Genomic DNA, 14,301 nt, shown 5'->3' with positions numbered 1-14,301 from the left:
TGCGCGGGGCCTCACCTTGGGGCCGAGGGTCCTCAGGCCGTTGCTGTAAAGCAGACCTTCTTCTCAGCCTCTGCCTTGATGGGCACGAGAGAGAATGCGCCTCTGTGGTGAATGGCATTATCTGTGGTGAAATGCATTAGCCTGTCAAAAATGGCAAAGCCCAGCTCTTAACACAACACGTACACCGGCATAAAAGGAGGCAAGACGCTGCGCGGGGTGGTGGGATGAGGAATGATGGCTGGAGCCGCCACGGCATGCAGGAGCTGGGTGTTACAAGAGGAGAAAGCTTCGGGAAAAGCAATTGCACGTCAAACCGAGGAGGACCCAGCAGATGAAAGTCATTTCCAAATGTCAAACGGGGATCACTTCGAGGACGTGGATAAGGAAGGCTGATCTGCCGGCCGCCTCCAGCAGGAGTCCCCCCACCCTCGCCTCCTGGGGAGGCCTCCACAGGACAAGTCCCTCGCCGCCTGGCTGTCTCTTCTCTCCCAGGCCCAAGTCCCCTTCGGCCCGGAGCTCTCCATGGCTCTCTGCTCTGTGAGCCCCGCCTCCTCCTTCCCTCCCCTGCTGTGTTGGGGGTTCATTTTGCCATGGCTGACACGTGGGGGTCCCCAGAGCTGTGATTGGTGTTGGCCCGAGGGTCACCCCTAAGGATTGGACACCTTGGGTCTGGGTGGGCAGACAGCCTTGGAACCTCGGGATAGCTGAACTTGGAGCTGACCCAGAAGGCGTTTTCTCAGAAAGCTTATCGCTTCTAAGGGTAGAATCCCATATTCTGGAACAACGGGGACAGCAGAGAACTTGATCTTACATCAGAGTCGGCCCAGTCTGCCTTTGTGAAGGACTCCCCAGTGTGAACCCGGAAACAGACAACACTGTGACCCTAGGGGAGCCCTGGGTGCCGGGTGGGGCGGGCATGGGGCTCAGAGAACGCGGGGAGCCCTGGGTGCCGCGTGGGGTTCAGAGTACGTGAGAACAGAACGTGGGAGAGGAAGAAAAAGGCAACGGCAGAGGGGGCCTCTGTGGGGCGGGAGAGGAGCATGGAAGGGCCTGAGCTCAGAGAGAGAGGGGCCAGGACAGAGGGGGCCTCTGTGGGGCGGGAGAGGAGCATGGAAGGGCCTGAGCTCAGAGAGAGAGGGGCCAGGATGCACAAGGGAAATGGAGGGGCTTCCAGGGGCAGACAGCTAGCTACTCCTCTCCCATTTTTTCAGGTTTATGTGGACGTGAGGTGGGCAGAGTCAGGCATTTCTGCAGGTGTCTGAACAGCGGCTTTTCCTGTTCCATGGGGGCTGCAGAATAGTGCTCCCTTCTTCATCCAGCCAGCTGTTCTGAAACTTTGTTGCTCAAAATGTAACGTCTCCGTGGCTTTTCTGCTTTGGGAGAATTACTGATGGTTAAGAATGAAATCTTGGGACTGGCACAGGGGCTCACCTGTAATCCCAGCACTTTGGGAGGCCGAGGCAGGCAGATCACCTGAGGTCAGGAATTTGAGACCAGCCTGGCCAACATGGCGAAACCCCGTCTCTATTAAAAATACAAAAATTAGCCAGGTGTGGTGGCGTGCACGTGTCATCCCAGCTACTCGGGAGGCTGAGGCAGGAAAATTGCTTGAACCTGGGAGGCAGACGTTGCGGTGAGCCGAAATCAAAACTTCATCTCAAAAAAAAAGGATGGAACCTGGGTATGTTATTTCTCTATTAGCAAGTACAAGAGACTCACTAGAAAGGTGGCAGGTGTGAACAAGCACCCTTTCAAGATTTTTTAATGTACAGGATAATAATGCAGCCCCAGAATTGAGTGTCTGGGTCTGTGCTAGTGTGCGCCTCCAGGTACAGTGACTTGAAGAACAGATGGGAAGATTCGCAGACGATTACATTAGCCAGTAAAGCTACATGTTTTAAAATACATAATTCACTACAGAGTTTGTGGAATGTGGATTTGATATACAGGTTTAAACTTGGATTGATCTTATGCCATTTAATAGCTAATCAATTAAAAGAGTTTACAAGTGATAAGTGCTGGGACTATTCTCACATTGATGTATAACTGGACTGAGTACCTCTGAGGAGAGCGGAAGCTGGATTTGCCCTCTGGGTAGGCGTTTCGTCGCTTTCAGCTTTTTTGGTGAAGACGATGATGCAGGAGAGTGGACAATAACGCAATCTTCCTGGAATGGCCTTTCCCGACCTGGAATCACCTTTCCTGGCCTGTAAAACGCACCCTGAAACCAGAGATCGGATGTTCCTGAGTGGGAGGAAATACAATGCAGATTTTTTTTGCAAAACAAAATACTAAATTGGATGGAAACTGGAGCTGGTGTGTGAGTTTCAGAATTATTTCTGTCCCCATCCCAGGGATTTCTTATTCTCTACCAGATTCAAGGAGAACAAATATACAAATTGTTAAGTGAGCCCCAAACGTGAAGCTGAAATGTGAAGGGGAAAGTCTAGAAAACGTGTCTGATTCTTCTGAGGGTGGATTTCCAGGCTCCCCTTCCTCGCCCCGGGCATGCGTCTGTCTTGCTCAGGCCTTCCCGTTCCCAGTGGGCCCCTCGCTTCTCCAGGGGGGGTTTTCAGACACATCTTGAGATTTCAAATCAACCCCAAGTGAGGCGGCAGAGCTGACACCCCACGTGCGACCCGTGGCCCCTGTACCCCAGTCAGCGGTGTCCTCGGGCCGGCTGCTCCCAGCACCCTCTGCAAAGTTCACTCCCCAAAAACCCTCACACTCCCTCCACGACTCGCTCACGGGTTTTCCTCCAGGGCTGCTGCCCCACCCGTCCCCTTCTTGGGGTACAGCGTAGACTTTTAGAAACTCCCCGTACAGACCTTAGGGCTCAGCACCCTTCGGTCAGAGCTGAGACCTCTGAGACCGGGATTCCCAGCAGGCCCCCAGACCCTGGCCTTCGGGGGTCTGGTAGGAAGAAGCTCTTCAGGGCGTCCTTCAGGCCTTGTGCAGTTCAGGTGTCACTCAGATCAGTTTTAGGTAGAATAATTGGGCCCCAGAACGACGTGCAGTTCCGAAAATGGAGAAGCAGCTGCTCCAGTAGCCGCTCCGCCCCCAGCCCGCATGCCCCTGCCCTTCCTTTGGCTTAATTAAGCTGTGGTGGCCACCGAATGGAAGGATGTGAATACCTTTTGTGTCCCTGGGCTGGGCTCCTCTGCTTCTGAGCCTTTGTTTGCCCGGCTCCCTCCGTTGCACCGCCCCCCCTCCCACTTTATCCCTGCAGACCCTCCCATCTGTCCAGCCCTGTGCAGACCCCCGTCCCCTGAGCTTCCATCTCAGCCCGGGGTGGCCCGTCCCATCCCGAACACCAGGGCCCTATTCATCCCTACCTCCCCTTTATCCCTTCTGCCGCCTCTGCGGTGACGTCTCGTCACCATCCCTCCAGTGTAGGGTGACTTCCTCATTGTGTTGGATGGAGGCAGGCCTGGGTGCAGAGCGGGCCTTGTTGCCCACACCAGACCAGCCCGTGTGGGGACAGCCTTGGCTTCCCAAAGGCCAGGTCTGTCCAATAGACCCACAGCACCCACCGGGGACCTTTACATGCTCGATAAGAATGAATCGATACATTGAACTAAGATCTTGATGTGGTAAGAGCAGGTCTGTGGGCAGGGGACGGGGGGCGGGGGAGCATGTAAACCCTCTTGGAAACCATCCTGTGCAATTCTCAGGTCCAGAGTCCTGCCCGCCCATGGGGAGTCCTCCCTACGCGCTGCAGGCTGAAGATGCGGGTGATGACAGGGATGGCACATGAAAATCAGCCCTTATTCTGAGCAAAAAGAAAATTAGGAAGGTGCAAAAGTTTCTTGTAAAAAAAACAGCTGCCCGTTCTCTACTTCCACGTCAGGCCTGGGCTGCTCTGAAGGCGGATGACTTGTTTCTTACTGACTGGCTATTTTAAATTGTCTGACTATGAAACTGAAAAGCAAGGTTCAGCCTGTGGGGCCTCTCAAGGCTGGCTTTGCTCACAGAGGTCGTGTTGGATCTGTGAACTTTGAAGGCACCACTGACTTTTTTGGAAGCCCTTAGAACTTAATTGCCCGGTGAGTCATCCTCCGTGGGAGCCGGGAAGGGAGGGATTTGTCTCACCAACGGCAGTCTGGCTGGAGGGGCTTTGCTGCGGTGTGACTGGGGTCTCCCATGACAACGGGAAGGGTTGCAGGCATCGTGGGTTAAAGGTGCTCCCTCTCACATCTAAGATGCCACCTTTATGGAAGCATTAAAGACCATCACAGAAGCCGGTCTTAGACATGGGCTGTTCCAGAGAGAAGATGCTCATTAAAATTCTGTGTTTCCTTCCAATGTCTTTATTTTCACAACTGTTTCCTGGTTTCAATCTGATGTTATCAGGAGCAGAGCAAATGAAGAAAATGAATGTCTTTAGTCTTAGGGGAGAGGCAGTCCCTAAGAAAAAGGGAGGCAGGAGGTCGGGTTTCAGCACGTCGGTCACTCTCGGATGCAGCTGACCGCGGGTCCCGTGAGCCCGTACGTGCCTTCTGTGCTTCACGTGGAGCACCTGCGTTTCCCAGCCACCCACCAGGGGCTTCAGGAGATTCAAACACAGCCCTCACCTCCCCAGAGCAGGAAGCCGCAGCTGTCGGCCGGCGGGGGCTCGATGCAGCTGCTCCAGCCGTGCCCCTTGCTGCTCCCCCAGGGCTGCCTTGGTGTGGGACACTCGGTCCCTGAGCGAGCCGTGATCTGGAGGCCAGGGATGCTGACCAGTGTGCAGGGGCTCAGCGAGGGCCCCTCTGCACCACGTAGATGCTGTGGGTACAGAAAGCAGACAGAAGGACTTCTGCTCTTGAGTGTGGGAGGCAGGGGTATGGACGTGAAAATAACTAGGAAACAGCACACGCCTGGATGCCCGGAGCCCGGCCTCGAGGTTGTGTGGGGACTCGAGAAAGGGCTGGTGCTCTGGGCGCCGCAGGGATGGGGGCTGAGCGAGCGGAGAGGCCGCTTTTTTCCTACTGATCTTAGGCTGTTCCAAGACTGTTCCACATTTAGAAGAGTGTTGAAAATTATTTTTCACTTACATGAAACATGTCTATATCTTTAATTTTTGTTTTGAGAAAACATCTTGCGAAATGGGAAGAACTCACTCCATATTGCTTGGCCAACATCGCTCATCGTGGGCTGACTCGGCTTGTTTGCCCGTGCGTGGAACCCCTTCCTGCAGGAGCTGTGCTTACAGCCCCTGACTGGGTGTCGTCGTGTGTCAGGAGCGGGGAGGGGCCTGCAGAGCTCTGTGGCCCTGGCTTGGGCGCTGCTGTCAGGGGCATCCTCCCCTGGGTGTGTGTGTGTGTGCGCGTGCAAACACGTGTGTGGGTTGTTCTTGGTCCAAGTGTAAAAGTTACCTGGACACCAAGGAGAAGCCACTGGAGGCGGTGGGACTGTGTCACCAGAGCAGCGTTGGCCACGTGGGCCATGAGCCGAGGACGTCCCCGGCTTAGATCACGGACAGGCTCGGCTGCCGGGGCCCTGACTCCGTGGCAGAAGAAGGGAGGCTCCCCTGGCATTCAGGGGCGGCCGTGGGCCATTTGCTCTCCAGAAGTGAGCGTGGCCCTGTGTTCCCTGAGGTCTCACAGGGCTGCCCCAGATGCACCCAGACCCCGGAGCACCTTGTAGCGGTGCCGATCAGAGACCTAGCATGGTGGAGTGTTTGTGTAAAGTCGCTCTCCTCAACGAAATCATTGGTTACTGCTCCTCTGCTCCCAGCTGGCCTTGCTGGCCTAGCATGTGAGGCGGTTCCTTCTGAGTCCCTCTGAGTTTTATGATGAAATAAAATCAAGTAAAACTGTGTCATGATCGGGGAGAGGTGATTATACAAGAAACCTTTTTTTCTTTTTTTCCCCACTATGACACATGACCCCGTTTAACAACCTGGAATATTTTTCCCCGGCCTTTTCCCTGCACACGCTTTCTCAACATTTCACCTTCCTGTTTAGATTTCCTGTCGTCACGTGCCCTGCAGCCTCAGTGTCAAACTGACAGAGCGCAGGCTTTTTCCTTAACCGTTTTACATTCGAGCCACCTGTGGTTGCACCGGGCCCCGCGGCTTCTGCTGTGTGTTGCCCTCTGAGCTGAAGGCCAGGGCCCTCCCCAAACAGAGCCGGTTCCCGTTCACCACGTTCTCTTGGTGCCACGTCCAGTCTGGAGAGTGGCCTTTATTCCTCCCCAGCAGAGCCCAGTGAACCCACTTTTTCCTGCCCAGCTTTGTACGTTTAATTCCTTAGTGTTGTCCTGTTACTAGTGATTACACTCTCGAAATAACCCTAAAAACCCAAGGCTCTCTGTGCGCACACTCGGGCAACACGGCTTCATTCAGTTGGCTCCCGGAAGCGTGCAGAGAGGTTTTCCTGAAACCTTTGTTGTCCTGGTCTTCTTTTGGCAGAATTCAAGAATGACAGGTCTCTTCTCTGAGTGATTTCCACTCTGTAATTTTCTCCATCAGATGCTGAGTTAAGAGATGAGACATTTGCCTTGTGATGTGTATGGATGAATTTCTGCCCCCAGAATCCTCTTCAGCTTATTTTGCACATTGTGTTATAGAGAAGTATAAGATACTTTGAGGACTCTGCGGACACGCCCAGGGCCCCGGCCTGGGCACAGCAGAGGAGCAGGCGGCTCTACGGCGAGCGAGGACTGTGGTGTCCGAATGTGCCGTGCTGACCATGGCCTCCTCTGTTTGTGTGCTCACACCTGAGGAGCTGCTCAGAGCACGGGAAGCTTTCAGGGTGGGGGCTCTGGGTGCAGCACTGTCCTGCGGGGATGGTCCCACGTGACTCTGCCCAGGGCAGGGTGCTGGTGTGGGCGCTTGCAGTGCCACTGGGCTCACACTCACAGTTCCAGTTGGCTCTGGATGTGTTGGAGGCAGCACCGAGCTGCAAAAAGATCAATTTTTCACATTTCCCTGATGGAGAGTTTCTGCGCCTGGGTGCGGACGCGCTGGGTTTACCGTTCCTGACAAACGCTGCCCCGTGGGGAGGGTGTTAGGTCGTGAGGCACTAGCATCACATTGAGTTTTGCGGTGGAGCATTTCCATTTAGGGCAACAGTGGAAGACGCCACCATCTTCTTTAAAAATGCCTAGTTACTCTAGTTTTACTGAGAGGGAGGAGGCAGGGAGAGGGTCTCATCAGCAGGACAGAGTGGCCAGAGGGTCATCCAGTGCGGACAGCCCTGGGGGTCTGGCCTCCTTGGTATTGTGTCCTGGAAGGAGGCCCTGCCAGAGGCCCCCAGCTCCCGTGAGGCTGTGTGGCTTCTCTGTGCCCAAATGTAGATGCGGGCACTGGCAGGGGGATGCCCACACCCGTGTAAGATCAGTGTCCCACGGGCCGAGTGTGCAAGTCAGGCTGTGTACTCGTTGCACCCACCTGAGATCAGTGTCCCACGGGCCGAGTGTGCAAGCCAGGCTGTGTACTCGTTGCACCCACCTGAGATCAGTGTCCCACGGGCCGAGTGTGCAAGCCAGGCTGTGTACTCATTGCACACACCAGAGATCAGTGTCCCACAGGCTGAGCGTGCAAGCCAGGCTGTGTACTCATTGCACACACCAGAGATCAGTGTCCCACAGGCTGAGCGTGCAAGCCAGGCTGTGTACTCATTGCACCCACCAGAGATCAGTGTCCCACAGGCTGAGCGTGCAAGCCAGGCTGTGTACTCGTTGCACCCACCTGAGATCAGTGTCCCACGGGCCGAGTGTGCAAGTCAGGCTGTGTACTCATTGCACACACCAGAGATCAGTGTCCCACAGGCTGAGCGTGCAAGCCAGGCTGTGTACTCATTGCACCCACCAGAGATCAGTGTCCCACAGGCTGAGTGTGCAAGCCAGGGCTCGTACTCATCACACCCACCTGAGATCAGTGCCGCATGGGCCAAGTGTGCAAGTCAGGCTGTGTACTTGTTGCACCCACCTGAGATCAGTGTCACACGGGCCGAGTCTGCAAGCCAGGCCTTGTACTCTGTGCTCCACACACATCCACCCTCAGAGTCCTCCCAACAACTCTGTGGAGCTGCTCTGCCTTCATCCCCATTTCACAGATTAAAAACACACACGCAGCTTTTGGCAGCCTGTCCAGTGGCACACAGCCCCGGGTGATCTGGACCCAGAGTCCTGGTCCTCAGCCTCTGCCTTACACGGCCACACCGTGCAGATCTCAGCTCTGTCTTGGCTTGCTTTTTTTGCCAATAATGGATTTCATTTTCTACTGTGGGGTTTTTTTTTTTTCTAACACACTAATGGCTCTGGAATACTTTCTTCTCAAGAATAGAGGCACATTATAATCATTGATATTTTACTATGGAGATGACCTGCAAAACCGTGCCCTTTTTCCATTATTGCAAATGCGTCCTTCTCACTGGGAATTTGACATGCTATCCTTAATAATTTTCTTAATAACTTTCTCAACACCTAAGAGGGGCCAGACAGCTAAAAAGCTACAGAGCAGCTATACTGAGACGCAGGGACCTTCAGAGCTTTCCGGAAAGATGTGAGCTCCATCTCCAGGGACAGGCATTCCAAAAATGCAAGGCAGCATGGCACAAAAATAAATGACTTCCCCTTTGTACCTGGAATTTTTTTTCTTTTTTTTTTTTTAATTATACTTTAAGTTCTAGGGTACATGTGCACAACGTGCAGGTTTGTTACATATGTATACATGTGCCATGTTGGATTGCTGCACCCACCAACTCGTCATTTACATTAGGTATTTCTCCTAATGCTACCCCTCCCCCTGGCCCCCAGCCCCTGACAGGCTGTGGTGTGTGATGGTCCCCGCCTTGTGTCCAAGTGTTCTCATTGTTCACTTCCCACCGATGAGTGAGAACATGTGGTGTTTGATTTTCTGTCTTTGTGATATTTTGCTGAGAATGATGGTTTCCAGCTTCATCCATGTCCCTGCAAAGAACATGAACTCATCCTTTTTTATGGCTGCATAGTATTCCATGGTGTATATGTGCCACATTTTCTTAATCCAGTCTATCATTGATGGACATTTGGGTTGGTTCCAAGTCTTTACTATTGTGAATAGTGCCACAATAAACATATGTGTGCATGTGTCCTTATGGTAGCATGATTTATAGTCCTTTTCTTAGTTCACATATATATTGTTTTTTCTTCGCTGCTAAAGAGTATGAATTGGGAAGAGAAAAGAAAACAGGTTTCATCCACACCCTGGTGGGAGTGGCCCCGTGGGTGCCTTCAGGGCCAGGCAGGCCCATGCCCAGCCCTCAGTGGGATGGAGCCTCCGTCCAGCTCCTCAGAGTGGGGAGGGAATTCGCAAGTGCCGCCGACATCGCAGCTAAATCTACAATCAAAAGAGTTATGTGGTTACATCTACCTTTCTTCTTCATTCATATTTAATTACCTGTTGGTTATTGAGTCACGCAAATGCCACAAGGTCTTACTCATCCTTACAAACTCAAGGTCGCCAAGCTGCACACACTGGGCCGCTGTGGCTGAAGGTGCATAGTCGCGGATCATAAACAGAGCCATCTTCGTGATTGTTAGGCTGAGTCTGGATCTTAAATAGAAGATTTTCCTTTAAGTGAAGTGGCTGGAAGGATTGGACCTTCTGTCCGGCCAAGATCTGTTTGCCAAAAATGTGTCAGTGCCCCCAGGCCAGGCTGTGCAGGGGAGGCCCTTGGGCCCCTGCAAGCAGGCGCTGTGGAGGGGCAGGTCTCGGGGCTTCCTGCTTGGCACCACTGCCGGTTAACCCCTTCAGCAGGCTCGTGTGGCCCACAGGCCTCACTCTGGGGTGTTCACCGTCTGACCAGGAGAGTTTTGTTCCGGGTGAGGATGCACCCTTTGTGTTTACCGAGGATTATAAATCAGGGAAATTTCAAAACATGATGGGGCTGGCCTCCAGCTTTCTCTCAGAGGAGGCTCATGTTGTTGATTTTGCTTTATAAATTATCTTTTGCTCAAATAAAATGCTCTCGAGATCATAGCTCTGTATTTTTGGCGGGTGTAGGCGGACAGGGTCTTGCTCTGTCACCAGGGTTGGAGTGCATTGGTGCAATCATAGCTCACTGCAGCCTCATCCTCCTGGGCTCAAGTGATCCTCCCACCTCGGCCTCTCAAGTAGCTGGGAGTACAGGTGCACGCCACCACACCTAGCTAATTATTTTTTTGGAGATGGGGTCTCACTATGTTGCCCAGGCTGGTCTCAAACTCCTGGGCTCAAGGGATCCTCCCACCTACTTCCCAAAGTGCTGGGATTACAGGCGTGAGCCACCACGCCCGACTACCGTTCTGTATTTTAAACTCACCACACAGAATGGTACTTAGAGTATTCGTAGTGGCGATGGCCATTTCTGTCACTGGCTGACAGGAGCCCCCGCTCTGTGCCCTGGGCCCCCACAGAAGTCTGATAATGAACGCAGGTGATACGGGCAGCGGCTGCTCTCGTCTGATGGCAGTTCTGGTGTGATGGCAGCTGATGCTGTAACCTTCAACTGAGGTTTTAAAGAAGTATGTGTGCCACGCTGTCCATTCAGTCATCGCCTCAGCGGTCAGCAAGCTCACGCCTCCGTTCAGCACCGTGGATGCGACTGCCTTTTCAGGTGTGGATGCTACTTTTCAATGAAGAGTGAGGAGTGTGGCCCCCTCCCCCGCTGTAGCCAGTCACTTTCTAGTCTTGGGAGGGGAAAAACAGCTCCCAGTGGCATCTCCAGTGAGCCCACACTGGCAGCCTTGCTTAGAGGGTTAGAGTCACCTCATGCAGGGTGGAAATGTCCCAAATTATAACCTAGAGCGATTTCAAATGCTGTGAGGTTTGTCTCGTTGGCACTGGCTAAACCATTACTAAGTCAAGTAGCGTTCTACATTTCTTATTCCATTCTAGTAAGAAGTGTGTTTTTCCTTACAAAATTTTTAAATGTTAAGGTAAAGGACTGAGAATGGACAGACTATAGAATTTCCATTATGAATTTGGAAACTATAATCAGCCTAAAGGACCAGTGAATGAGACCACATGAGATGCCCCTCAGTGCTTTCTCCAGCAAGCCATGAGGCAGAATCCAGGCTCCTTCCTGGCTTCCCCCACGTCTGGAGATTCCCAAGAGTGTCCAGGGAAGGGTGGAGAGGGAGGGGCCGGTCCCCACTGTGAGGAGCTCTGGCAGGTGGCCCAGAAAGGGGCCACACAGCAAGGGGAAGGGACGCTGGCAGGGGCAGGCCACAGTGAGTGGGAGAGGCAGCGGCCAAACGTCCCAGCCCCCGTCCTTGGAGGGAGCTGGCCCGACCCCGTTCCCCGTGAGCGCAGCAGACTGGCGCATTTCCAGCTCACTTGTGAGGAATTTCTGTTTCTGTCTCCAGTAGATAGATGTGGCTTTCTTGTGTTTATCGCCAAGGGAGACACCAGGAGTTGGGCCTGCAGCCACGTCTTCCCAGGGGCACGTGCAGGACGGCCGACAGCCAGTGCCGCTGGGACTCCAGGGTTTAACTTGTCAGTGTGATGTCATCACGGTTTCCACGCGCACAGCCCTTGCTCAGTGACCTCCTCGCGGGCCTGGTGCGCTGTTCGCCCCTTGCCACCCCTGCCGTACCTGCAGGGAGTCGCCGATGCCCGGGGAACTTCTTCCCAGCCTGGGTTATGGCCGGGGGTGGAGCTCGGGCTGCAGAAAGTGGCTTCGCGGCCAAGCAGAATGTGGCAAAAGCAATGCTTTGTGGATGTCCTGAGATACGGCGTGAGGCAGGACACTCTTCAGTTGGTCCCATGACAGCCACACTGACTTAGCAACAGCTGGGTTGAATGAGGTGTGAACTTCTGACTGAACCGTGCTGCGTGAACGTGGCTGAGCCGTGAGGTTAGGTGGGCGGTGGATGCAAGGCCTTCCCTTCAGACCCTGCATGCACAAGAAGCACACGGTCGGCAATGTTACTTCAAGCTTGTAGACATCGGGTACATCCCATGTCCAAAAAGAAGGCTCGCCCTGGAAAAGCACATTCCGAAAGCAGTCGCGGCATGGATGCAGAGCGCTGTGCCCGCAGCACTGCCCACCCAGGAGGCTGTAGGGAGTGGCGGCCCCTTCTCTCTCCTCCTCCTCCTTCCTCGCCCCGTGGAAGCTCTTACGCACCTCCAGGCCCCATGCCTGCTCACACCTCCCCATCTCTGCAGGTGCCATTGCGGCCTAGCCTTGGGGCCTGAGCCTCTCCTGCCTAAAGCTTTCTTTGACCTCAAGTTCAGGGAGGGTCCCCTCCTCCCGGCCCCACGGCACCCCTTCCCACGAACGCCCAACACGTGCTGTTGCTGTCATTCCCATCGCTTCTTGCGGTCACTCGTGCCCAGCTCTGGGTGGCGTGGGAGTGCTCGGGGGTCAGGGCCCGGCGAGTCTGACCCAGCCTGGCTCAGCCTGGTGTTCCTGGCACCCTGTGCAGTGCTGACTCGGCAAGGGACCATAGCAAACCTGATTTTGAATAAACTAATAATCATCGTAGTAGGAACAGCAAATAATCACCTGGTGTGTGTCAGGCACAGGCCCAAAGCCTCACTCTAAGCATGTTATCTTATTTAATCCTCCCAGCGGTGAAGTCGGTACCATTATCACCACTTCACAGATGGGGAAACTGAGGCACACAGAGATTAGTGTTTTCCCAAGGCCACACAGTCAGTAAGACCTGAAGCCCAGATTCAAAATCAGGCCCTCTGACTGCAGGTGCTATGAGTGAATGAGTCAATGACTGCCCTGGACGTCAAGGAAAAGAACCAAAGTTAGGTCTGTTTTTGCAGTTCTCATCCTGCTCCTCTGAAGACATACCTGTTTTCTGGGTCCTGGTTTCTAGGAGGCGTCCATGGTGGCCCCGTTGCCTCTGTCTCAGGGCAGCTTTGTGGAGGTGCAGAGACTCTCCTAAGTGGCAGGTTCCCCCAGAGCCTTCAGAAAAGCCTGCGCTGGTGATGTGAGGGAAACATGGCTGGTGCCTCCGGGGAGCCACGTCCTGCCCATCGTAGTGTCCAGGGAAGTAGGACGCGTCTCTCACCTGCCCCCAGGCTCAGGGGCAGCATGGGGGGCTTCAGCCCCAGACACCTCCTCCACCCAGGACCCGGCTTCCCCACCATCCCGTTCCTCCCTGCAGGCCATTCCTGGCCTTATCACTGCCAACCTCCTCCACCCAGGACCCGGCTTCCCCATCATCCCATTCCTCCCTGCAGGCCATTCCCGGCCTTATCGCTGCTCAGATGTTTGCCTGAGCCACTTGCTGAATAGAAACTTGGTAGCGGTGGGTTCAGAGCGGAGCAGCGCCGGGCTAGAGCACCCGCCCCCGTTCCCAGGCGGAAGCCCGCAGGGAGAGCGCCTTCGGGCAAGAGCAGCGTCCCCGGCCGCGCGTTGCCTTGCTGTGGGCACACCCTTCTCCCACGGCAGCGTCTCCCTCTGCACAGGCGAAGAGCTGCCGCCACGGGTCTCCAGCATTCTGCGCCAAGCTTTCGGGGGCTTCCTCTCTGCCAGGGACATTTTTCTTGGATCTTTATCGCAGTTTCCCTCCTTTGAAAAAGTTAAGACCTTCAAGAAGACCCTGCGCTGCGCAGTGACGCGAGACCACTGGTGAGAGCCGCGGGTCCCCGCTGAGAGGCACCGAACCCTGGGTCTCCCTCACCGTGCACCAGCACTGAGCCACTGGGCACTGAGCCACCCGCCGGAGGAGGCGATGTCGGCTTGTCCAGCTCTAAATTCTGCGACTTTGGCCCGGTGCAGTGGCTCACGCCTGTAATCCCAACACTTTGCGAGGCCAAGGCGGGTGGATCACCTAAGGTCAGGAGTTCAAGATCAGCCTGGCCAACGTGGTGAAGCCCGTCTCTACTAAAAATACAAAAATTAGCTGGGTGTGGTGGTGCACGCCTATAATTCCAGCTACTCGGGAGGCTGAGGCAGCAGAATCGCTTGAACCCGGGAGGCGGAGGCTGCAGTGAGCTGAGATTACACCACTGCACTCCAGCCTGGGCGACAGAGCGAGACTCTGTCTCATAATAATAGTAATAATAAATTCTGTAACTTCTTCAGAAATATCTTTACATTTGCCAAGCCGTCAAGAGTTTGGCTCTGGCTTAGAGAACGGCCCTAACTTCTATTCACTAATACGTCTCTCTTACTCATGAATGCTTGAGGCTTTCTCTGTAGCTGCCTCCATGCTAAGCACTGAATATACAGGAAACCATCTATTTTAATCTTCACAGTAACTATAGGATTATCTCCATTTATAAAGTGAAAAAATAGGCTTAGAGACCTTTAGAGGTTTTCCCAAGTTCACATGAAAAGTTTGTGGTTGTTTGCTATTGGTGACTTTGGGAGAAAAATAAATACAATA

The 14,301-nt window shown here is 54.0% G+C and overlaps 1 protein-coding gene across 10 annotated transcripts in view, besides 3 other annotated features; it reads left to right on the top strand.

Annotated features, from left to right (window-relative positions):
* PTPRN2 (protein tyrosine phosphatase receptor type N2) overlaps positions 1-14,301 on the top strand; it is a 1,048,768-nt gene that overhangs the window by 913,091 nt on the left and 121,376 nt on the right. The gene's annotated exons all lie outside the window — the stretch shown is intronic.
* Positions 4,116-5,008: an enhancer, noted in NCBI's record as "H3K4me1 hESC enhancer chr7:157462417-157463309 (GRCh37/hg19 assembly coordinates)". NCBI's record gives its function as "activates a minimal SCP1, AML or CMV promoter by ChIP-STARR-seq in naive H9 embryonic stem cells {active_cell/tissue: H9 hESC(naive)}" and the evidence as "EXISTENCE:reporter gene assay evidence [ECO:0000049][PMID:30033119]".
* Positions 5,009-5,902: an enhancer, noted in NCBI's record as "H3K4me1 hESC enhancer chr7:157461523-157462416 (GRCh37/hg19 assembly coordinates)". NCBI's record gives its function as "activates a minimal SCP1, AML or CMV promoter by ChIP-STARR-seq in naive H9 embryonic stem cells {active_cell/tissue: H9 hESC(naive)}" and the evidence as "EXISTENCE:reporter gene assay evidence [ECO:0000049][PMID:30033119]".
* Positions 13,057-13,556: an enhancer, noted in NCBI's record as "H3K4me1 hESC enhancer chr7:157453869-157454368 (GRCh37/hg19 assembly coordinates)". NCBI's record gives its function as "activates a minimal SCP1, AML or CMV promoter by ChIP-STARR-seq in naive H9 embryonic stem cells {active_cell/tissue: H9 hESC(naive)}" and the evidence as "EXISTENCE:reporter gene assay evidence [ECO:0000049][PMID:30033119]".

Source organism: Homo sapiens, chromosome 7, assembly GCF_000001405.40.
Source record: "Homo sapiens chromosome 7, GRCh38.p14 Primary Assembly".
In the NCBI taxonomy this organism is placed as follows: domain Eukaryota; kingdom Metazoa; phylum Chordata; class Mammalia; order Primates; family Hominidae; genus Homo; species Homo sapiens.
This window is presented reverse-complemented; position numbering and strand designations above follow the sequence as displayed.